This window comes from Homo sapiens, chromosome 4, assembly GCF_000001405.40.
Source record: "Homo sapiens chromosome 4, GRCh38.p14 Primary Assembly".
NCBI lineage: Eukaryota > Metazoa > Chordata > Mammalia > Primates > Hominidae > Homo > Homo sapiens.
In genome coordinates this window covers 33,881,636-33,907,439 of record NC_000004.12, presented here as the reverse complement: position 1 = coordinate 33,907,439, position 25,804 = coordinate 33,881,636, and the positions used below count along the sequence as shown (strand labels likewise).

General features: G+C 33.5%; 2 long non-coding RNA genes across 4 annotated transcripts in view; one reads left to right on the top strand and one right to left on the bottom strand.

Annotated features, from left to right (window-relative positions):
• The window catches only part of LOC101928622 (uncharacterized), a 143,555-nt gene extending 132,454 nt beyond the window's left edge, over positions 1–11,101 (top strand). The window contains exon 5 of the long non-coding RNA NR_125902.1: positions 9,121–11,101. This is a non-coding gene — a long non-coding RNA (uncharacterized LOC101928622). The remainder of the gene's footprint in view (positions 1–9,120) is intronic.
• On the bottom strand, positions 763–25,804 carry LOC105374392 (uncharacterized). Of its 3 annotated transcripts, XR_925181.3 has the most exons (5): positions 25,686–25,804; positions 18,367–18,490; positions 15,195–15,304; positions 9,119–9,237; positions 763–2,291 (listed from the first exon to the last, which is right to left on the bottom strand). It is a non-coding gene; the product is annotated as an uncharacterized LOC105374392 (long non-coding RNA). The 3 variants fall into 3 exon arrangements; XR_925180.3 differs by lacking the exons at positions 18,367–18,490; positions 25,686–25,804 and adding an exon at positions 15,389–15,593 and having other exon boundaries at positions 2,057–2,291; XR_925182.3 differs by lacking the exons at positions 15,195–15,304; positions 18,367–18,490; positions 25,686–25,804 and adding an exon at positions 15,389–15,596 and having other exon boundaries at positions 2,057–2,291.

Here is a 25,804-nt window from a genome sequence, read left to right as displayed (position 1 = left end):
AATACATTGATTAAATTTAAAATACTTCACAAACCTTGCATACCTAGGATAGATTCCACTTGGACATGATATTTTCTTTTAATGCCTTGCTGAATTGAATTTGCTAAAGTTATATTTACAATGTTGAATTGATTACATTAGGAATATTGATATGTGAATTGGTTTGGTATCAAGGTAATACTGGCTTGATAAACTAAATTGGGAATGAATCTGCAAATGTCTGGAAGAGTTTTGTACTATTAGTTTTGTTTCTCCCCTAAATGTTTACATGTTATCTGTACTTGATATTTCTTACCAGCAAAAAAGCTATTTTTTTGTTTGAAAAATTTCTGCTCTTGACCCCTCTTTCTCTTCAACTACTGCTTTGTTTTGCGGCTTTCTCAGACACTTGTCTCTATTTACCTGCTCCAGATTCTTTTACTAAACTGTCTTTAATGTAGTCCTTATTAAATTGTTATTGCTCCTTTTCAAAGAAAGTTGTGGCTGTAAATGTAAACAAAGATTTCCATGTTGCTAAAATTAATGATTATTAATTAGTCTTTTTATCAGTTGACTTTTTCAAGAACTTTATTTTTTTTAAAGAAGTTATAGGTTCACAGAAATATTAAGAGGAGTTGACAGAGATTTTCCGTATCTCCCTTGCTTCCACACATGCATAACCTCCCTCATTATCAACATCCTCCACCGGAGTGGTACATTTGTTACAATTGATGAACCTACATTGACACATGATAATAACCCAAAGCCCATAGTTTACATTACGGTACACTTTTTTTTTTTTTTTTTCTGAGACAGAGTCTCACTGTGTCACCTAAGCTGGAGTGCATTGGTGCAATCACAGCACACTGAACCCTCGACTTCTGAGGCATGAGCTGTCACACCTGGTCCCAACATTACAGTTCACTCTTATGTTGTACATTCTATGGGTTTGGACAGATAAATAATGGCTTGTGTTAATTGTAGTATCATACAGGAATCGTTCAGCATATAGTCTTTTGGTATTGTCTTCTTTTGCTTAGTCATATGCATTTAAAGTTAACCTGTGTCTTTTCATGACTTAATGGCTTATTTCTTTTTAGCACTGAATAATATTCCATTGCCTCAATATCCCACAGTTCTTTTTTTTTTCATTCGCCCACTGAAGGACATTTTGGTTGCTTCCAAGTTTTGACAATTATAAATAAAGCTGCTACAAAACTCTACATAGAGGTTTTTATGAAGATAAAATTTTCAACTCCTTTGGTTAAATACCAAAGAGTGCAATTGTTATGTCATATAATGAGTATGTTTAGTTTTGTAAGAAACTACCCAACTGTCTTTCAAAGTAGCTGTAACATTTTGCTTTCAGCAACAATGAATAAGAGCCCTTTTTCCTCCACAGCTTCATGAGCATTTGATGTTGTCAGTTTTCCAGATTTGGGCCATTTTAACAGATGCACTGTAGTATCTCATGGTTTTAATTTACATTTTTCTGATGACATATGATGTGGACCATCTTGTCATTGCTTATTTCCCATCTGTATAATCTTCTTTAAGTAAAGTGTCTCTTAAGGTCTTCAGCCCATTTGTCAGTCAGATTGTTTGATTATTGTTGAACTTTAAGGGTGCATGATATATTTTAGATAACTGTCCTCTATCATATGTGTCTTTTCCAAATATGCCTTCCCAGTCTGTGCCTTGTTTTCTTGTTATCTAGACATTGTCTTATGCAGAACAGAAATTTTAATTTCATTGAAGTCCAGTTTATCTATTTTTTCTTTCGTGGATTATACCGATGATGCTGTATCTAAAAACTCATCTTCATCCCCACGGTTATCTAGATTTTCTTCCATGTTATTTCTAGGATTTTTATTGTTTTGTGTTTTACATTTAGGTTTATTATTCATTTTGAGTTAATTTTTGTGAAGCATGTAAGTCTCCATCTAGATTCATTTTTTTTTTTTGAATGTGGATGTTCATTTGTTTAGTGAAAAGGCTATTTTTGCTCTACTGTATTGCTTTTTCTTATTTGTCAAAGGTCAGTTGACAATATATTTATGTGAATCTATTTCTGGGTTCTCTGTTCTGTTCCATTGATCTGTATTTCTATTAGTTTGTCCATACCACACTGTCTTTATTACTGAAGCTTTATCATAAGTCTTGAAGTCAGGTAGTGTCAATCTTCTGACTTTGTTCTTCTCTTTCAATATGTGCTGGCTCTTTTGCATTTTTTGGCTCTCCATATAAACTTTAGGGTTCGTTTTTCAATATTCACATAATAACTTGAGATTTTCATTGGAATTTCATTGAATCTACAACCAAGTTGGAAAGAAGTGACATTGTGTCAATATTGAGTCTTTCTACATATGAATATAAAATGTTTCTATATTTATTTAGTTTTTTTATTTCTTTCATGGGAGTTTTTTACTTACCCTCATAATAATCTTGTACATATACTTCTAGATTCATATATAAATATTTCATTATTGGGAATGCTAGTGTAAGTGGTTTTGTGTTTTTTGGTTCAAATTTCACTTGTTCATTGCTAATACATAGAAAAGTGATTGACTTTTGTATAATATATTAACCTTGTATCCTGCAACCATGCTATAATTGCTTATTGGTTCCCAAAGCTTTTCTTAAATCAATTCTTTTGAATTTTCTGCATATGTGATCATGTCTGCTGTGAAAAAAGACAGTTTTATTTTGTCCTTTGCAATCTGCATACCTATTATTCCCTTTTCTTGTCTTACTGCATAAGCTAGTACCTCCAATATGATGTTGAAAATAAGTAGTGAGAGGAGACAGCCTTGCTTTTATCTTAGTGGGAAAGCTTCAAATTCCTCCCCATTAAGTATGATGTTAGCTGTAGGTTTTTTGTAAATATTATTTATCAAGTTGAGAAAGTTACACTCTATTCCGAGTTTACTGAGAGTTTTTATCATAAATGGGTATTGGGTTTTGTAAAGTACTTACTCAGCATCGATTGATATGATTTTTATTTTTTAGCATATTGATATGATGGATTGCATTCATTTATTTTCAAACGTTGAACTAGCCTTGCATATCTTAAAAAAAAATCCCACTTGGTTGTGGTGTATAATTATTTTGATGTATTATTGAATTTAGTTTGTTATTTTGTTTAGCACTTCTGTATCTATATTCATGAGACATGTTGGCTTATAGGTTTTTTTTTTCCTGGCAATGTATTTTTATAATTTTCATACTAGGGTAATGCTAACCTTATAAAGTGAATTAGAAAATCTTCTCTCTGCTTCCATCCTCTGAAAGGCATTGTGTAGAATTGGTATAATTTTTTCCTTAAACATTGGTAGAATTTACTAGTGAACTCATGTGGGGCTACTGCTTTCTGTTTTAGAAGTTTATTAGTTATTGATTCAACTTTTAAAAATAGATATAGGCTTATTTGAATTGTCTACTTTTTCAACTGTATGTTTTGGTATCTATCTTTTGTCGCCTAGGTTACCAAATTTGTATACGTAGACTTAATATCCTCTTGATGTCCATAAGATCTGAAATGATGTCCCCTCTTTAATTTCTGGTATTGTAAATTGTGTCTTCTCCCTTTTTTTCTTTATTAGCCTGGCTGAAGGCTTATTAAATTTATTGATCATTTTAGATAACCAGTTTTTGGTTTTCTTGATTTTCTCCATTGATTTCCTTTTTCAATTTCATTGATTTCTGCTCTAATTCTTATTATGTATTTTCTTCTGCTTATTTTGGACTTAATTTGCTGCTCTTTTTTTGTTTCCTAAGTGTAAACTTAGCATATTCATTTTAGACACTTCTTTTTTTCTGATGTATATGTCCATGGTATAAATTTCATGTGTTGAATTGTCACTGCACTACCTTCACTCATCCCAATAATTTTAACAAATTGTGTTCTCATTTTCATTTAGTTTAAAACATTTTTTATCTCTCCTGTGATTTCTTCTTTGACCAATGTGTTATTTAGAAGTGTGTTTTTAAATCCACATTTATTTTTGGGTTTTCCAGTTGTCTTTCTGTTATTGATTTATAGGCTAAATCCATTGTTTTCTGAGGGCACATTGTAAGACTTCTGTTCTTTAAATTTATTACAGTGTGTTTTATGGCCCAGAATTTGGTCAGTCTTGGTGAATAGTGGTTGAATTTTTGGGAAAGTTTGACCCCATTTATTAGTACCTCCAACTAGCAAAACTTCCTTATTCTTAAACTCATTCAGAAGCATTCAAAACTAAAATTGCACAAATAGAGACATTTTAATTAAAAAATAAATCCTAATTTAGTTGAATATTGTCAGAAGACATGTTCTGTTTTTTATGTTGTTATTTATTGTGACTTGTTTGTGGACTCTACTATCAATTGTTAAAATGTTACATGTTTACCTTAGAGGAATATGTATTTTCTAATTGTTGGATATCAATTTTTATACATGCTCAGCTCTTCTACGACTTTACCAACATTAGGTCTTCTTGGTCTTTCATGTTTCCAAGAAGCATTGTATTAATTATAATGTATAATATATGTGGATACAATAAAATTATATATCATATAAGATTAATAATTAATCAATTTGTCTTTATAGATATCTTTATATATTTTGAGACTGTGTATGCAAAGGCATGTGAATTTTTACTTTTTAATGGTATCATTAATGATTTAAATTTTAATTGTTGCATAATTACCCACTGTATCCTAATAATGATTTTTAACTTTGTAGAACATTAGTTTAACTACACCAATTTCTTGGGGGCTATTCTTTACCTCATATATTATTTCTTCTTATTTTACTATCAAACTATCTGACTATGCATGTGTTAAAACTCTTTTTGTAGACAGCTTATATTTATAATTTATTCTTCTTTCTCAAGTTAAAAAAATTACTATATGATAGAACAAGTTGCGTATATTTCCATGTATTGTGATTAAATTTGAAACCACATTTTCAAAATACTTATGCCTTCTTTTGAATATTGTTTTCCTTCCTTCTAATGATTATTTTTAAAAATAACATTACTCATGTAGTATTTGGAAGGTTATGCCCTCTTTTTTTATTTAAAAGGTACAATTTACTTTATGTAAGAAATAAATAAGAAGTTTTACCCTCTTGAGGTGCAATGCAATTTCTTACACCACTTTAAATCAGAGCACCTCTATGTAGTTTTTCATAACTATTCATAACTTCGTGTTTAATGATAGCTTATTTTTATATCCCTATATCTAAAAATTACCATGATATGGAAGAGAGGATTAAAGACATGGAGTCGATATTTCATCACTTAGTATTTATTTATATTTACATACATGTTTTCTTTCCTTTGTTTATTGGTCTTTCTTTCACCTTAGAAATTCCTTCTGGAATTATGATTATTTTTTCTTTTTCTTGACATACATTCTCTATTAACTCATTTAGTGAAGATTCTAACTACTGTGCCTGTTACATCCTAATTACTTAACTAATGTCTGTTTCTTTAATAAATTATTAATTATAACTCTCATCAGAATGATGCAATAGTTAAAGCAAATAGACAAGAGAAAGGAAGTCTCTCACTGTATGCATGTGTTAGCATTTATAAAACATTCAAGGGTAGTATCTTACTCAAACTCTCTATAAAGAAGAGATATAGTAAGAAACCCAGAATATTTACTAAATGTCATGCTGCTATATGTTTAAACTGTGAGGAATGTCATGCTGCTATATATTTAAACCATAAAGATATATAATACAAGGTGGGAGGGTGCTCTTAGAGCACCAGATAATATGATTTTATTTGAAATACCCAACCTCTGTTCCTCAGCTTCCTTTTCTCAAAAAATGAGGGTGGAACAATAGCACCTACCATATAAGATTGCAGCAACAATTCAATGAGTGCATACATTAAAGGAACTTGGAGAATGCGTGCATAGCATAAAGTCATTTTAAGAAAATTATTTCAAACTTGTAAGTAGATGAAAAAAAGACTGCATGCCCTTTCAGTGCTTATTGCAGCATTGTCTAACAGTCTCCAACAAAGGATTATTTTCTTCCCTTTAGTTTAGAGGCCACAGAATGCACGTTTGTTTGAATTTATACTTACCATTTATTAAGGTTCAAAATCTGTTAAGTTAGATGTTAGTTTTTGGTTTTTGTCCAGTAATGATGTAAGTGACTTATGCTTAATTAATAGTATAACCTTCAAAGATCATGGTTTATTACCCTTTAAGATGTTAGCCAGTATTGTTTCTAATTTAGCAAACTTATTCAGCACGCCTTTTAAGACTGACTATATAATCCTCTTTTCTTTGAATTGTACTTTTAAGAAGTTTTACTTTCCTAATGGTTTTCCCACTAATAAGTTGAATAAATATTCGATCCATGTTCGTGCTATATTTGTATGTCATATTTTTAACTAAAATAAATTATTCTTTGACACATTCAGTAAATATTAGCTATTTTATTATCATTAATCTTTCTAGATTGATAAACTTAGCAGATTAGAATACGGTAATGAGAAAATCACAAACTCAATTTTACTTCATTTGATTTGTATTAATAAAAATATAATTAGTTTTTTAATTAACTTCCTTTTAAACATTTGTGTCATTTATCCTAAAGGAAATGGTTGTAGAGAGTACAGAACTTTCAGCATGACAATTTCTTGTTTTAGGAGAAATCCAAAATGTTAAGTCTCCTTGATGCTTAGATTATTATAAGAAAAAAAGAAATTGTTAACATATGATCAAAATAAATTACAAGTTAAACTTTTAAACGTATGTAGAAATAAGTTCATGTGTATATATATGAATATGTTGAAATATTTATTTGTTGAAATTAAGCATTAAGCCATCACATAGAATTTGGAAATAAAAGCTGCAAAGTATATGAATTACTTTTGTATGCCCATATTAATGGTAGCATCAGATAGAGGGTTGGATTAGAGATACTTTTCAACCAGAAAATAACCTGTTATTTCCGCAAGTGATAATAAAATATGGAAGCTTTTTTGTTGGTTTAAAAATTAATTGAAAGTTCTGCCCATTGTTTCATGTAACTGGCAAAATTACCTAGTCTCCATTTTGAACTAAATGTGTTTAGTCTTTGATCACTTAAAGTGTTGGTCATACCATGTCACTCTAGCCTGGATGGTAGAGTGAGACCCTCTCTCAAAAACAAAAATATAAATAAGAATAAAGAGTTAGTAGTAAAAAGCAGACAAACAAATAGAGTAATATTGATCTTTGTAAAGGATGATAGTTAATGCCTTACTTCTGCCCCATAACCCAACACAATATTGTATTTAAACTGAGTATCTCAGGGTTGTTGTTTGCCTCTCTGCAAGGCTTCAGCATTCAATATTGTTGCTGTAGTATCAAGTAATAGAAGGTAAACCTGTAATATCTTTTTGCTACAATATAACAAAATATGCCTCATTACAGTTATGTTGATAATCAAATTTCCTCTGTGTTTGAGAGTTAAATACTACATATTTGGTTGATTAATGTATAAGAATGCATGATTACTAATTTATATACTTTTAGTGGAATTTTTCATTTAGGGGATTCCAATATCTTCTCATTACTCATCAGATAAAATTCATACTCCCAACATAGCCTATGAAGTTCTAGCAGACATGGTTTCTACTTTTTTTTTTTCCTGCAGCATCCATTATCTGTTGTTCTCTAATTTTCAACAATACAAGTAAGTGTTTTAATCCTTTTGGTTCTCAGAGCATGTCAATCTTATTCCTGCCCCCAAATTTGGCTCTTGTGTTCGCTCTGCTTACTACAGGCAACTCCTAAATCTGTGTACAGCTAGATCTCCCTTATTGTTGACACCTCAGCTCATCTGTCACTTTCTGAGATGGTTTCTTGGATTATACCTTTTAAACTCACACTAGTAAATATCGTATCAGCCTATGCACTTCTTTCGTGGTCCTCAGCACAAATCACTTTATTGTTTGCTCCTTTTATTCTTCTGCCAACTGAACTATAAACTCAGTGGGCTAAAAGATCTAGTCTGCATTTTTATTATTTTATCCTCAGTATCAAGGATATGTGAATTACCCAACTATTTAATGAATGTTGAATGAATTTAACAACAACTTATACAAACTACACTTTTAATATATGCAGCAATAATTACTGAATGGTGACACTTCTGTAAACATTTTAAAAATATATGTATTAATTCTGTTTTTAGTAATGTGAAGATTATTTTTGATAAAGTAAGCTAAGTGTACAAGGATAACAAAAAGTAATTTTAGCTTAATATTGAAACATGTTTAAGTTGTTTTGACTTGTGTGTTCCTTAAAATAGGAACATTTTATTCATACATCTTTAATTTTTAGTAACCATGACTAGTGACGTGTTAAGCTTTTATGATTGATAGATTTGCAATTTTGGTATTTTAATCCACTTATGAAATAGCTTGATGTAAGCTAAGTTCAGAGGATAAGCAAATTCTGTCTTCAAGTTTTTTTAGAATTGTTTTCCTGACTAGCTATGAGTGTATAAGATTCTTGCTTCACTTTAGTGATAAATTTTTAAATGTTTAATATCCATCTCTCTCTTAACACTCAACTGCCTGAGGGCAACACTATCTTCATATCTTTATAATACGTTGTAATATTTGTTATATGTGACCCAGGTTCTATGTTTATCATACCCATTCCCTCATTTACTTTTCAGAGGTATTTCATAAGATAGGTGCTACTTTTACCATCCAGTTACCTATAGAAGGGGAAACTAAGACCTACACAACTATAAGCAAAGTATTCAAGTTCTCGTGTACCATGTGCATGTACCTTATGAGAACTTGAATACTTTGCTTATAGTAATCTATATGCAATTGTTCTAGAAAGTGTATTACCAACATATGTTTCTAGGATGTAACACTTATTTAATAATTGTGTATTAAATTGAATTAGAAATATGACCAGGGTTTTGTGTGTGTGTGTGTGTGTGTGTGTGTGTGTGTCTGTCTGTCTGTCTGCATATCTCCAATTTCTTTGTTTTGTTTAGAGAATGGACAGTTAATTGAAGTTCTCATGCAGGCCCACACAGCTTCTGTCTTATTCTGTCTTATTCTTTTTTATGCAGCTATAACAGAATACCTTAGCATGAGTAATGTATAAATAATAAAAATGTATGTCTTACAGTCCTGCAGGTTGAAAAATCCAAGATCATGGCACTGGCAGGTTTTGTGTCTGCTGAGGGCCTGATCTTCACTTCCAAGATGGTGGCTCGAGTGCTGCCTTCTCCAGGATACAGGAATACTGTTCCTCACATGGAAGAAGTGAAAGATCAATGAATCCACTCTTGCAAGCCAATTTTTGCTCTGTTTGTTTGTTTTTGAGACAAGGTCTCACTCTGTCACCCTAGAGGTTGGAGTGCAGTGGCACAATCTCTTCTCCCTGCGACCTCCACTTCCCTGCTCAAGTGATCCTCCCACCTCAGCCTCCCAAATAACTGGAACTACAAGCGATGACTACCAAAAAATGTCTAATTTGTTTGTTTGTTTGTTTTTGCTAGAGACTGGCTTTTGCTATGTCAGCCAGGCTGGTCTCGAACTCCCAGGCTCAGCCTATCCACCTGCCTGGGTCTCCCAAAGAGCTTGGATTATAGACATGACCCACTGCATCCAGCCACAAGCCCATTTTATAATGGCATTATTCCATTCATGAGGTCAGAGCCCTTGTGACCTGAACTCTTATCCTTAGGCCACAAATTCTAATGCTGTTGCATTAGGAATTAACTTTCTGACACATGAATTTTAAGGAAGACAAAAACATTCAAACTACAGCAGATTTTATTCTATATGTAATTGTTCAAGAAAGTGAATTACTGTACATGAATATAAGGAGTTTTTTCACTAAGAACTCTCAAAATAGTAAAAACAGAGGAATAAAAACAGAACAAGGGTAACTGAGACTAAACTAGCAAGACACCTTCAAAGAAGCCACAATAGTTCAGAGAACTAAAACATGGATTCAAGATTTATGGAAACTTAAAAAAAAGAGCTTGACAATTTTATAAAGACTGAATAGGAATATAATTAATCCAAGAATTTCCTTTATGGCCTGAAAGGTGACATAATAATAATACAAACAAACACTTATGCAGCATTTATTATGAACAGTGCTTTTCAAGATCATTTAATTCTGTCAACAATTCTGTGTAGCAAATAATATGATTTTTTTTATAGAAGAGAATAGGGGTGACAAGGGAAGCATGGTGGCTGATTATTAACATTACACTGGAATCTTCCACAGAGTAAAATATTGTGTGTAAACAAGCAAAGATATTTGAGTTACAGATTTAATTCAATACTTTAGTGTTGCATGATATCTTAATGAAGGAAACCCAAAATTCTGTAATCAAGAAAGATAAATTTTAATGCTTCATAGATAGATTTATTATTCAAAAGATTAATACAACAATATGTTGGCCAAATACAGCCCCCATTGCAAAGTAGTATTAACAAATACGTGCAGAAAACTAACACTTTACCCACATACATTGATTTAGATTTTTTCCAGAAAGTTTAATTTCATATAAATATTTTACCACTTTATATTAGGTTGCTCCAAAAGTAATTCTGGTTTTTGCTAATAGGTATGAATTTTCAGTCGAATATTTGCAAGGAATACTAGATTCTGCAACTAATGCTTTATAGGGAAAATAGTCACTAACATAGAAGAACAAAAACTCTATTTTAAAGTTAGCCCATATGTCTGACTCTTCAAAAAAATTTTTACTACTGCACTGACAGGTGAAATTTCTTTCGTGCTGGGGGGATGTAGGGGAAAGAATCACAAAGTTTTTACAGATTTATTTCCTTTCCAGATTCTATTTGCAAAGCAAGGCTTACAAAAGTTTTTTAATATAGATTTAAGTTTTCCATGATAGTGGGAAAGTTTTCAAGATAGCTCTATAAACATAATCTCCTAAATCTGATGAGTCTCTGCTAGACATGAAAAAAAATACATTGTCTTTCACATCTTTCTGTGCTAAGAATTTAGGCTGCAAAGAAAATTTAAAGGCGAAATTCTTATGTGAACTTATTTATTCTATATAATTATTAGACTTCATTTTGTCTAATCATTATTGATCATTTAATAAAATCAGTTGGGGATAAAATAATTCTCTATGTCTCATTGGTTTTCTGTGCTATTTTACTCTACATTCAATAAAAAGAAAAATATATAAATAACATTTATCACATACTCCATTAAGTCTAACATATGCTAGCAGAGCACACTGCAGTCAAATTGTGTATGTCTGTGTAAAATTGGTGCTGTTCCTTCACTAAAAAACATCTAGTAAATGAAACTATAGTCCAACAAGTAGACTTATTTTGGCTTTGCATTGAAATGAAACAAGCGTACAGATTCTAAATTCACAGTCCTTTTTGGCTAAAAAGTCCACACTTTATAATTAATGCATTATTTTGGTTTATGTTGCTCTTTGTTCAGTTATTAAAGTCCTGTTATCACAGCACACAAAGCAGACATTATGCATTTTAAAGCTAAGCAACAAGTATACTATTTTAGCAGTTTATAAGGAAAAAAAAGGACTGTGTATTAAGCTTTGTAAAGTTGTGGCCATCTGGAATATCAGGATGAAATTTGGTCTTCATATTTGCATCATGCAAAGGTTAGCCATATTTTCTGTTTCTAAACTTCCTCTCACAGGGAATTAGATATACACATTTTATGCAGTCTTTTCACCTGTCATGATGTGCACAAAGTGTATTAACATACGGATGGGGGAACAACATGATAGTTAAAGCAATAGTTTGTGGTTTCGGTCTTCATTGGAAATCCAATGGGGATTGGGATGTTAAATACTGAGCCAGGTCTACACAGAGTACATTTCTTTAGCTTCCCGGCTATTACTGCTGGGTCATCTTGCTAGTGTACTGTGTGGGCTAAGTACCTTATTTCAATTCCTTAGAACAAGGTTTCTGAAAATATCTGTGGTAAGGGACCACTTAAAAAATTTCTAAACTCTCAGAAATTTATACTTTTCTGAATTACAATGAAAATAAATTATTAAATATAAGTGGAAAATACCCACAAAGACATGAAAGAAACAAGTTCTATTTTGTTAATATTAGATTCAGTCAACATAAAATTACTTTGTCAGTGTACAAGGTACTCTAAATTTTTAAATATACTTACTCTCAATTTGGACACCCAGATCAATCTGTTTGGTGTATACTTGTATCTCATTGTGGTTTTTATTTATATTTTCCTGATGGCATATATTACTAAGCATGTTTTCATATGCTTGTTGGACATTTGAAAATCTTCTATTGTGAAGTATTTATTCAAGTTGTTTGCACATTTACAAATGTTGCATTGTCTTCTTATTATTGAGTTGAAGTTATTTATATAATCTGAATATAAGTACAATGTAATATACATATGTTGAAAATAATTTCTCCCAGTCTCTGGCTTGTCTTTTTTTTTTTTTTTCTGTGTCCACGGAGTCTTTTACAAAACAGAAGTTTTAAATTTTGTTGATGTCTAACTTGACGAGGTGTTATTTTAGGTTTTTATTTGTTGTCTTCCACCTAAGAGATGTTTACCAAACTAAAGGACAAAAAGATTTTCTCTTATAATTTCACCTAGAAATTTTACAGTTTTTGCCTTTGTGTTTAGGTCTATAATTCATTTCAACTTATATATTATGAGGTAAAGGTTGAGATTAATTTTCCCCACAAATACATCCAGTATTTACAGCATTACTTGTAAAGTTGATGATCATTTCTCCATTTTTATGCTAGTATTTTTGCTAAAAAATAATCAACTACCATATATATGTGTATCTTTTTCTGAACTCTATACATTTAATCTATCTACATGTATCTTCTTATGCCAAGACCTAACTCTCTTGATTACTCTAGTCTTAGGCTAAGTGTTTAAATCAGGCAACGCCAGTCTTCCCATTTGTTTTTCCAGAAGTGCTTTGGCTATTTTATATTGTTTCCTTTGCTGTACAAATTTTAGAATCATTTGTCAAATGTAAAAGAAAAATAAAGTCTGCCTGGATTTTGACTGGGGTTGCATTGAATCTATAGATCATCTGGAAAAAAAAAACTGAAAATATTATTGAGATTTTCCATCTGTGTACATGATATATTTCTACATTTAGTAGTTCTTTATCGGTTTCTAGCAAAAAATGTATAGCTTTCTGTGTAGGTATTTTACATACACTTTTTTAAATAAATACCTAAATGTTTCCTAATTCTAAATAGCATTTTGGATTATATTTTACATTTTACTTTCTAAATTGTTCATTGCTAGTATATAGCAAAACAGTTGATGGCTATATATAAATCATGTATCACTTGACTTAGCTAAGCTCATGTTCAATAGTTCTAGTAATCTTTTTCTATACATCATTTTGGATGTTCTATACTTAATCTGTGGACACTGTGTATTGCTGCCATAGAATTCTTCAATGAAAGACTTCCTACCTAGGTGTTAGGAATGCTCTTGGCAGTCAGTTGGCCAAGTCAGGCAAGTTCTTTCAGGCATTGCCTCAGCTGAAGTCAGTCCAATTTGCTTAAAGGTAAACTTCTTCCTGGGGCAGTATAAAAGTTTGACCACCTCGTCATAACTAATAAAATGGCATTTTAACTCTGCAGATCCCATGGGTTTACTTAAGTCTTTCTTGATTTTTTAATCTCAGGATGGTTTATCCTCCAACCCAGTGCTATTTCCTGGAACTCCCCTTCATAGATATTGATTTGAGAGCTGTTTCCTCAAAAAAGTTTCTGCATACTAAAATCCATCTAAGGATCTGCTTCTTAGGAAACCTAACCTGTAACCATGATCCTGTTTTTTTTTTTGTGAATTAACAGAGGGATTTTCTCGTTCTTTCTAAGATTTATGCCTTGTATTTTTTTCCCCCTTATTGTGTGTGCTGTGGCATCTTCTCTAATGTTGAATTGAGGTTGTGAAAGGGATTATAGTAGACTTTTTCATAATCACAGGGGGAAAGTGTTATGTCATTCAATTATGTATATGTTAGCTGTAGGTTTTTAATTGTTTCCCTTCATCACACTAAGAAAAGTTCACTATACTGCTTATTTGGTGAGGCATTTCATTATGAGTGAGTTATTCAAGATATGTTGCTAAATTTCTAAATACTTGAGGTTTTCTATATATCTTTTTCTAATTTATTGAGAGCTGGACTTGGTGAATGTTAGCTATTGAATGCCTGGATGGTATAATCGTCCTTTAAAATGTGTTGATTTTTGTTTTGACAGCCAGTTAAGTTACCTGTGGATCAGCTTCAGCCTTTCAAACTCTTGTTTTTGATGTTTGTTTGGAAGACATAGATTTTCCTTTTTGGTTAGTTTAGCTTTACTCTGAAGATATAAATTTTCTGCAGGTTCTATTGAATCTGCGTTGATTTTCAATATGTTTCCCCCAGTCTGCTTAGTTGGAACTAAAATGTCTACCAACCCTTTGTGACCTTCAGGTATTTCTTTGGTTATAGCTCCTCATAGGTCTTCATTGTCTGGCCTTGTGGAAATTCTCCTTCCCAATGCTCAGCCTAGTATTCAACAGAAGACTCAAGTTTACTTCATGCAGATTTCTGAAACATGTTCCCAGCTTCACTTCAGTTGGTTGGTACTGTGATCTGCAAATTCTAGCCACCTCAGCTTCCCTCAACTATAATCTGTTTCCCAAACTCAGTGAGATCACAATACCATTCTTCTTTCTTTGTGTTTGGATTTCCTGTCCGTGCTACAGAGTAGAAATACCCGAGCTTCTAGAAGACCAGCAACACTGTAGAACTTTATCCTACTCTCAGGAATCACTTGGAGTTTGGAAGAAACACAACATTGTGTCTGATGAGGAAAATAATTTAATTTCTAGGAAGTGGCCTTAGGGTACAACTGTTAATGTGTGACATTGCCATATGTACGTTTCTAATAGCATGAGAGAGGGGTCATATATATGGCATTATCTTTGAAAGGCATTTAGGAAATGGAGAGATTCTTAGGATTTTGTTAAATATTCAAAAATCAGTTTTTAAATTAGTTTTTAATTCCACCAATCTTTTTACTCAAAATATGAATGTGAATTTTTTTAACAGCCATTCTTATTAAAATGTAAGTCACATGCAAATTTGATTTCCAAGAGGAAGAGTGAGAACCAATGAGGATGAGGATGAAAGCTTTCATTTTTCATATTGTTGTTATTATTACTCTTACCTAAAAGTCTTGCTGCTTAGTCTTTCTTTACTTTCCTTCTGAACTTTCTCATAAACCTTGTAGGACATTCACACTCATTTTATTTTTAACACCTTTGACAAACTCTAATTCTATGAAAAGAGAGAGATACAGGAGTTATGACCCTCAGTTCTAGAGTCTAAAATATAGTCTACTTGAAAGAACACACAACATACCTCTAGTGTTAGACGTTTTTTTTTAGGTTGGCTTTGTTTGATTTCCAGCTGAGTTCTTCAAGTGGATCAGAGAGCAGTCGAATTAATTGGTGCTTCTCTGAACCAAATAGCAGTGCCTATGGCTAGTTGCCCTTCCCAGATCATTGTGACATTGAGCCTTATGATGCTATTATGTGAGTGTTCTCTGGCTGTGGCTGTCCTGGGTCATAACCTGATTTTGATAGCAACAATTACTGATCCTTCAAATGTCAAGATTCAGACCTTATGTATTTTCTGACAATAATGTACTACCGAAGAAAAGCTTCAGGGAACAGTCATGTAAGATTCTTCATTTCTAATGGTATATTTATAGGTTTGATATTTTGAAATACAATTGAAGTAATAATTGCCAATGGCAGAGGTGGCTGTTAGAATGCATTTTGCATGTTTTACATTAAAATAAACAGAAAAGGCCCGGCGCGGTAGTTCATGCCTGTAATCCCAGCACTTTGGAAGGCTGAGGTGGGTGGATCACGAGGTCAGAAGTTCGAGACCAGTCTGACCAACATGGTGAAACCCTATCTCTACTAAAAATGCAAAAATTAGCCAGGCGTGGTGGTGCGTGCCTGTAATCCCAGCTACTCAGGAGGCTGAGGCAGGAGAATTCCTTGAACCCAGGAGGCGGAGGTTGCAGTGAGCTGAGATCTCGCCACTGCACGCCAGCCTGGGCAACAGAGTGAGACTCCATCTCAAAACAAAACAAAACAAAAAGCAAAAACAAAAAAACAGAAAAACAAGTTAATTTTATATAGCAGTTTGCCCGAGTCTGAAGGTAAGACTAGGATAATTTGAACATTCACAAGACACTTTTGTGGCTCGTTCATAACCAGTCCTTCAAAAGTCTTAGCTATCCTTCAAAAAATTTGCTGCAGAAATTCTAGATGCCTTTTGAATTTATAGAGAGTGAGGTAGCAAGAGGAGGGAACAGCTGCCGCATATGCTCTACAAACTTCCTTTCAGAAAGTGACTTCATTCCCCATGAGAATCGGCCTTTGGCACAACTGCCAATTTTTTCTTAGATAAAAATGTCATAAGCTATCCAGTTTTAAAATTGGGCAAAAGACTTGAATATGTTATTCTCCAAAGAAGATCTACAAATAGTCACCAAGCATATAAAAATGTGGTTAATATCATGAATCATAAGATAAATGCAAATCAAAAACACAATGAAATGTCATCTCACACACCTTACTTAGGAGGGCCATTATCAAAGTAACAGAATGTAGCAAGTATTAGCAAGGATACAGAGAAATTGGAACCCATGAGCACCACTGATGGGAATGTAAAATGATACAGCCATTAAGGGAAACAGAATGGAGGTTCCACAAAAAATTAAAATGGTATTAACAATATGACCGAGCAATCCGACTTTTGTGTCTATATCAAAAAGAATTCAGAGCAGAATCTTGAAGTCATATTTGAAGATCCATGTTCTTGCAGCATTATTCACAATAGCCGAGAGGTAAAAGCAACCAAAATGTTCATTGACCAATGACTGGATAAAGAAAATGTGGTATATACATACAATGGAGAATCTCGCAGACTTCAAAAGAAGCACAGGCTGCCACAAAAATAAACCTCAAGGACATTATGCTAAGTGAACTAAGCCAGTCACAAAAGAACAATACTGTATGCTTTCACTTACATGAAGTATCTAAAGTGGTTAAAAATTATAGAATTGGAAAGTAGAAAGGTGGTTGCCAAGGCCTGAGAGAAGAGGGAAAGGTGAATGAGTGTTTAATGGGTATAGTTTCAGTTTTGCAAGATACGTAGTTCTACAGCTCTGTTGCACAGCAATGTGAATATCATTACTACTAAACTGTATACTTAAAAATGGTTAAGACGGTAAAGTTAAAGTAATGCATTTTTTATCATAATAAAAAATAACAGGCTTATATGATACATAATAATTGAAATTAGGAGAAATTTTGAGTGTTTGAAAGGAACTACACTATCAACAATAATAATACAATTTTTTGCCTTTCTTTTTAATGGCTGGCACATGCTGTACATGCTGAGATCACATTTTGGACAATAAATACACTAAACTTGTGTTCTAAAGTTGATTACAGAAGTTATTACTTGCCATGTTACCCAGAGAATTTCATCTTAACCATCTTTTTTTTTTTTTAATTTGTATAGCAAACTATCCTGACCAAGTCACTCTCTTTTCAACTTCTTTATATCTGAATTTGGTCATCCTTATTTCTTTCCTGCATGAGTATTTTCCTGGCTCACTTCAGCTACCACTGTCCACACTGGTAGACTAGAGAATAGTAAAAGTCACCATCTAGGGATGAAACTTTTTCTTCTCACCCCAATTCTTTCACACTTCTGTTGTTTTTAATAATCATCTTATATATAGATAGATTCTCAATTTAATTAAAATATATTGAATTCTGCAATATACTGAGTGCTGCACACAATACTTGGAAATTAGAGATAAGTAAAGATTAATCTTTGCTTTTTAGCAGTGGTAGAATCTCGTAGGCAAACAGATAATTATAGTATCATGGGTAAATGTTATGATAGATAGAAGTATATACTGCTAAAATAAACCTAAAAATTTAACTTAAGTTTACCTTGAAGAAAGAAAGACCAGGGAAAACACCCAAAAGGGGATAACACTTGATACACAGGTCTCATGTAGCATTCATTCTTGGTTGAAAAAGAAATCCATTGAAATCCATACTCTAAATAATGTCTAAACTCTTTAACCCATCTTTCATTCCGGCATTGAGTTACTTTCTCACATCCTGTCCTTCAGCATGATAGAATTCTGTAAATTTGGCTACATGAGCCTAATACTTTCTTATAACTATAATTTTCTGCATAACATTTTTTCAACTTAAAATATTTATCCTGTGTCTGTATGTTCAAATTCTACTCCTCTTTAAGGTGCAAGTTTACATCATCCAGAAAATGTACTGCAGACTGACCTTGAAATTACACATTGCAGGAAGTCATTCTTCAGCCCGTACCTCCTTTTGACTTTTTATTGTGCTTACCTTTTGGGGAAATTTTCCTATAAATTTTTTTTTTCAGGGTCTTAAGCCCTTTCTCCTGCGATTTAAGTGGGGGAAAAAAACTTATATTAAAATCTGTCTTAATTTTAATAGTATTATCAATAATGTTAATTTGCTCCGGGATAAAATATAAATAAATAAGTAAATTGATACAAATTGCAGTCCACTTGAGGGCAAAGTTATTGTCTTATTCATTTTGTAACTTCCAGTTTCCTCACAAAGTAACTTCTCTGTTGCAGCATATTAATGAGCAGTTAAGTTAATGTTTTCTCTCTATAAACCTACCTCCTGCAGCATTTTTTTTTTTTTTTTTTTGTGACGGAGTTTTGCTCTTCTTGCCCAAGCTGGAGTGCAATGACATGACTTCGGCTCACTGCAACCTCCCCCTCCTGGGTTCAAGTGATTCTCCTGCCTCAGCTTCCAGAGTAGCTGGGATTGGCCCGCGCCACCACCACTCCTGGCTAATTTTTTGTATTTTTAGTAGAAACAGGGTTTCACCATGTTAGCCAGGCTGGCTTCGAACTCCTGACCTCAGATGATCTGCCTGCCTCAGACTCCCAAAGTGCTGAGATTACAAGCGTGAGCCACTGCACCTGGGCCAGATTTTTTTTCTTTTCTTTTCTTTCTTTTTTCCTTATAGAACTGCTACATTGCTAAATAAGCAATCATTAAATGCTTTAATCAATTTACCCAGCTTTGAATTTCTTGACTAGTATCATTCTGAGGATGTATCTTTTTTTTCTTTTCATTTCTTTAGTATTTTGCTCTCAACTTTGTTACTACTCAGGTCACTGATTTTCATGATTAAATAATGTTCTAACCCATACTGTGTTATAAATATATCCATCAATATTTTGCTTTATAACATCAGTCCTCATACAAAAGTGGGAAATTTAAGTACATGTATCTGAAATAAAAGGCTTAAGAAACACATTTCTTCTGTGTGTGAACAAGGAGAACGTACAAATTAATATGCCACTCCTCTACCCCATCTTAATTTCATCTTCAGCAGCTGACTCAGTCTACTTCCTGCAGGAACACTTGATTGTGAGCTTCCTTCTTAGTCAGCTTTATATTTCCTCATTCCCTTTTTTTTGATCTTCTTTTGTATTTTTAATGATTCTGAGAAAATAAACTGATTTTCTGCCTCCAAAACACTTTCTTTGTATTTGTTCAAAACTGTCTATCTTAAAGTTTTCTTCCAGGTTAGCAACTTTCTTTTTGAACTACATGTTGGGTCAAGACATCTACATCTTAAGAAAAACTAAACCAGCCAAATGCTTTACAATTACCCCTGATATACGATCTCACTTCTCTTTATTAATATCTTAAAGAAACATTAGATTTTCCCATGTTCTTTCCCCTTGTATTTGCTAGTCAATTAATTTCAGTGTCCTTTCCTATCAGCTACACTAGTGAACCTTCTCACACCAAAACCACTAATGATTTCTAATTGCCAGACCTTTGGAAGCTTGTTATATTTAAAACTATATTCATTCTATTAAAAACTATATTGTTTGACATCGTTGTTTGGCATCCATATATGAATTTTATTTTATTTTTAATGACAAAACTGTCTCCCCTTTTTCTTCTGACTTTTCCTTTCTTATGTTTTATTTTGTCTCTTACCCTTAACTTTGACAAAGGAAATCTCTAAAAGAATGGACTCTGGTAATGATAATAGAAATGCAAACAGTGAGATGCTTGCCTTTGTTTGATCAGTCTTGACAAGATGTAGAATTATGAGTTTATTACAGAATAAAGTTGCTAAATATTTTATTTATATTCACTAGTTGTTTGACCTTGAGCAAACAGAACTTTCTCTTCCTCATTTGTAAAATTCCATCATCATCATCATCATATTTGCCTCATAGGGCTATTGTGAGAATTACAAAATCAAACATGTAATGTGTTCAGAACAATAGTTGAAACAAGGCAAACATGCAATACATTTTGGTTATTATTAATTGTTGTCATACCTGCAAAATGGAATGGAAGATAAGTGAATGTGTGTATACAATAAGAATAGTTTCAAATTTAGAGTAGATTATTATTTTAATTCTTTTTGTACAGGGAAATTTACTTGAATTATTTTCTATTTTAGATAAGCAGATGTTTTAGATAAGCAGATGTTTTAGATAATCATCTAGATGAAGCCTTTTATTTTGGAGAAGATGAAACTGAGGTAAAAAGAGTAAAAATGTCATGTCTAGGTCTTATAAATAGTTTTGGGATTTTTCTATGTGTAGTATTCTGCTACTGAAGCTGTACGGGTCTGCAGCAACCTCAATTCTTGCCTCCTCAGAAGGAAAATTTTGACTGAGGGGAATAAAGCAGAAGGCAAGTTTTAGAACAGGAATGACAGTTTATTAAAAAGCTTTAGAGCAGGACCAGAAGTAATGAAAGAACAGCTGGAAGAGGGCCAAGTGGGCAACTTGGGAGATCAAGTGTGCAATTTGACCTTCCGACTTGAATTTTTTTTTTTTTTTTTTTTTTTGAGGGAGTCTCTCTCTGTCACCAGACTGGAGTTCAGTGACGCGATCTCAGCTCACTGCAAACGTGCAACCTCCGCCTCCTGGGTTCAAGCAATTCTCCTGCGTCAGCCTCCTGAACAGCTGGGATTACAGGCGCCCATCACGAAGCCCCCCTAACTTTTGTATTTTTAGTAGAGACAGGGTTTCACCCTGTTGGCCAGGATGGTTTCCATCTCTTGACCTCGTAATCCGCCCGCCTCAGCCTCCCAAAGTGCTGGGATTATAGGTGTGAGCCACCATGCCCGGCCCTGACTTGGGTTTTTGTATGTTGGCATGCTTGCAGGATCTTGCATGCCTTATTCCCTGATTCTTCCCTTGGGGTAGGCTGTGTGCATGAGCTTGGACTCCTAGCATGTGGGAGGGGTGCATGCACAGTGTGTTTACTGGAGTTGCACGCATGCTCACTTGAGTCATTCTTCCCTTACCAGTTAAATGTCTCTGAGATGTCATACACTTTGCCTCTCAATGGGCATGCTTGAGCCCACTAGCCCAACTCCTGAGATCTTATCAGGAAACTGCTGATCAGCTTCAGAATTTTTCTGTCCATTGGGAGACTGCTTTTCCCTGGTGCCAGCTGCTACCAATTATTATTTTAGAAAGGCAGTTAACAACTCCCTGACCATCACCTGATGGTTGCCTGGCATTCCTGGTACAAGGCTAGGGGAAGCCCTCTCATGCCCTGCTCATGCCTGACTAGCTACCTATTGTAACAATTCCATTGAATAGAAAATGTATGCCAACTTGCTCACAATTAGATGATAAATTAAAAGTGAATTAATGAATATACTTAGAGTGTTATTATTTTGGGTCACTGTATCCCTCCTTGCTTATGCTTTAAAGAACTCTCTAACTTAAAGAACTCTCTTCCTTGCACTACTGCAGGAATTGTCAGGGACAGGGGGAAGAAGATTGAAGAAGCTTTAATTTAACAAAATAGATTGAAAGAAAAGGACACAACATAGTGAAACCCCATCTCTACTAAAAATACAAAAAATTAACTGGGAATGGTGGTGCCTGCTTGTAATCCCAGCTACTTAGGAAGCTGAGGCAGTAGAATCGCTTGAATCCAGGAGGCGGAGGTTGCAGTGAGCCAAGATCATGCCACACTGCACTCCAGACGGCAACAGAGCGAGACTTTGTCAAAAAAAAAAAGCCAAATATTTTGTAAAAATCTATACTACAGTCTTTTATTTCTAGTTTTCACCTGTTTTTACATCCATTTCATAGTCATGGTTGTTACAGGCATTAAAAATTAAAAGCAAATGCCTCACTTGAGAGCTACTTTATAAGCAGCCCTCATTCTTAGAAATTCATGAGGATCCATGTATTTGCATTTCCTTAGAAACAATGACAGCATTGCAAGGTTTGCATGCTATTATGATGGCTCTTGTAGATGCCATTGCTAGCCCAGACAGTGCCAGTCATGACAAATTCCGTGGACTGAATGATCACCAAATAGGAGGAAAGAAAGTGACTACAGTCTGTTTTTGTTGTTTGTACTTTCTTATGAAAATTTTTGCCTTAGCTTTTTCTGTTAGGAGGCTGCTGTTCTTAGGGCTAGGACCAGCTGCTTCCCTCTATCACAGTTGAAAATCATCATTTCCTCCACTGAGGTGAAATATTATTGAACCTAGCACCTTATATTCTGCTTATTTCTCATGATATGCCCTAAGAATAGTGAAGTACTGTTAGTAAAATTATCTTAAAATAAGTTAGTAAACTGCAGAAAGGGGAAAATAAAATGTCTTGATCTTCAATGTTGGCTTTAATGCATAATCTGAATATATTCCCAACAAAATTGTGTTATGTTTTGTTGTTAAGTTTGAAATTTTTTTCTGTCTAGTGTGGTGGATGGATGATGCAGTTATAACTGAGCTCTATTTTTCTTTAAAATGGTTAATATTATCCCTATATCAAAAAGAAGGTAAATTACAGTTATTTGGAAATTTACATTATGTAAAAAGATATGGATGTTGCTAAGAACATGACTCAACTCCTGCATTTTATTATTTTCAAGTAAATATGAAATTATAGTAAAATCCTATTGGAAAAAAATGATACACACTAACTAACCTTGAACTGTGAAAGGGTGCTCGACCAGCAGCAACCTGGAAATGTTGTCCAAGAGTCTATATAAACTTAGCTAAAGAACAGTAAAACATTCTTAGCTAGTTAGAAGAAATAGCAATGCAACACAAATTAACTGATTAAATCTACTATAGCATTTTTAAAAATGTTGGCCTCATGCTAAATTAAAGAGTAATAAAGTATAAGTTTAAAAAATTCACATGTCAATATTCTAATATGAAACTATAATTAATTGTATAAACTTTTACTGACTAATGTGGAAGTTGTGACACTAGCTGGCAAATACTACAACTCATTTAGCATTAGTGGTGATACGTATATTTAAATCTTCAGCGTAAGAGTGAAGAAATCATAGTTTGTATAAATAATGTCAGCATTAATAACAATTTCTTGGATATTTGATGTATTCAATAGTTTTTGTCACAGTGCTTCTTGGAACTTGAGGTATTTGAGCTCAGAAATTCAATTTCTAATGAAATAGATGAATACAATGTACTTTATTTTTTGTAAAACTATATTGCTAAGTTTTTAGAATTAAAATATTATGTTTGTGTCTGATGCTGAAAAATTTCTCTGATCTACATTTATAATATAGAGAATAAAAGCATAATATGTATGATAATTATTTCCTAATAATACAAGTTAAATTAAGCACAGTGATTTTTTTTTTCCAAAGATGTCTCTCTTAATCTTTAATGCTTTTGCCTTCTGTCATAATTGCAAAACAGATTTTTCCCATTGTATTCATCTGACTCTCACAAACCCATAATTTTATCTTTAACAAATGCATTCATTATCAACTTTAAAATTGACTATTAAGGGAGAGATTTTTAAAGTGCCATTAATATTACAGAATCCTTTTGATATTTATTAAATCATTATAGCTTTAACAGAAGTATTAAAAAGTTGATTTATTTTTATGGAGAGAGAATGAAAGGAAAAAGAAGGAAGGAAGGAAAGAAGGAAGGGAGGGAGGGAGAAAGGGAGGGAGAGAGGGAGGAAAAGGAGGAAAGCAAGGAAGGAGGAAAGGAGGGTTGATGTTGTGTACAGTGTTGCCAGGCAAAAATCTAGACATGAAAGCAGACTTGTAATTTGAGTATCCTATAAATGTCTGTTTCTATGAGTTTTAAATATGACAAAAGCAAATGAGTGAAAGACTACACTCTAAGTAATAATACTCAAATGGAAAGAAAATAATACTTTCTATTTAATTTAAATAGAGCAAACAGTTTAAAATTCATATGTACTTTTCCATGGAAATCAGATGTGATAATTTGTTGAAAATGTCATTTATAGACAGTAAAGAACACTGACGATCTCAGAGTCTGAACTAAAGTTCAGTCTGAGGAGCCTGAATCTTAACAGTTGTTTCCAGTGTTTAGAACTGTGGAGGTTCTGTGATTTTTATCCCACAGACAAGCCAGCAATTTAGCCTGCCAAAGTTTTATGGACATTGTCAGAAGACATAAGATGAGTTGGCAGACACAAAGGGCAGTTTCTTTCTCAGAGCAATAACAGTAGCCAGTTATCAACATTTTGTGTTTGCTTCCTGAGCTCAATTCCCACAGGGCTATACAATGAATGCCCCCGTGATATATTGTGCTCACGGTGAAGTGAATCATAGGAAAAGATCTCAAACTTGGGGTATACCAAATTTATAATGGATGATTAGCTTGCCTAAGCTTTGCCACAGGAAGACATTATGTTTATTACATTGGACAGTTGACCACCCATCCTTAGCTCAAGAGGAAGACTAACTATATCTCTACCTCCCGAAGCTGTTTTCTTAAACAGAATTCTGGAATATATAGTCTGAATAAAGGTAGTTAGTGGAGAAACTTTCCCCAGCAACCAAGAAACCCTGAAAGAGGATGGTATAATGGATTTTCACAATGGGATCGTTCTCCAGCTGATGAGCAATGATGACCACATCCTTAGACATAAGAGAGCAATGCAGTTGTTAAAATATTCATCAAACAAGAACTGAGATATTATACTGGTGAAATAAATTGTATTGGCAAGTACAGTGTAAGATAGATACAAATATGGTGAGAGAGTAATTGTAAATCAAATGGAACTGGATTTTTTTAAGCTCAGAGCACTTTATGCTCTAGATAAATACAATGAAAGGCTAATAAATTAACTAAAAATTTACTGTGGAAGCCAGAGGATCTACTCGGCCACATCTAAAGGGACTTATCTCCCACAGTTAGCAGGCTGAGAAAACAGAGCCCCAAGATTTAGTCACAAGCATGTTAAAGCTCTTGGGCAGCTCTGATATGTAAAGGTCAGAATCTTAATTATGAAAGAATGAGATCCTGTGACATGTGATTGGAACACCTGAGTTGACAAACTTAAAAATTTTGAACCCTCTCCAGATTCTCCTAATACTGCAGAAGTAGCCTACCCATATCTACTAAGATCTGGGTATATTCCCTTAGTTGAAGATGATGCAGGACAAAAGGTGGCCCTGCCCCAACAAACTGTTTCTATCTCGCCTCTATCCTTTACACACATATCTAAGGTTAAGTCACTCAGGGAAGTGCTGAAACTAAGAGAAAAAGGAAGGAAACGTACTATACCATGAAAAAAGCACAATATATTGCTTACCTCTATCAGCAGAAGCCAGGAGTGCAAGACATTTGGGGTTATTTTCTGATGACGCTGAATTAAACAGGCAGTGCAAGGGGGTTGAAGATGAGTTTGGGAAAGGGAGAGTTTATCAGTGT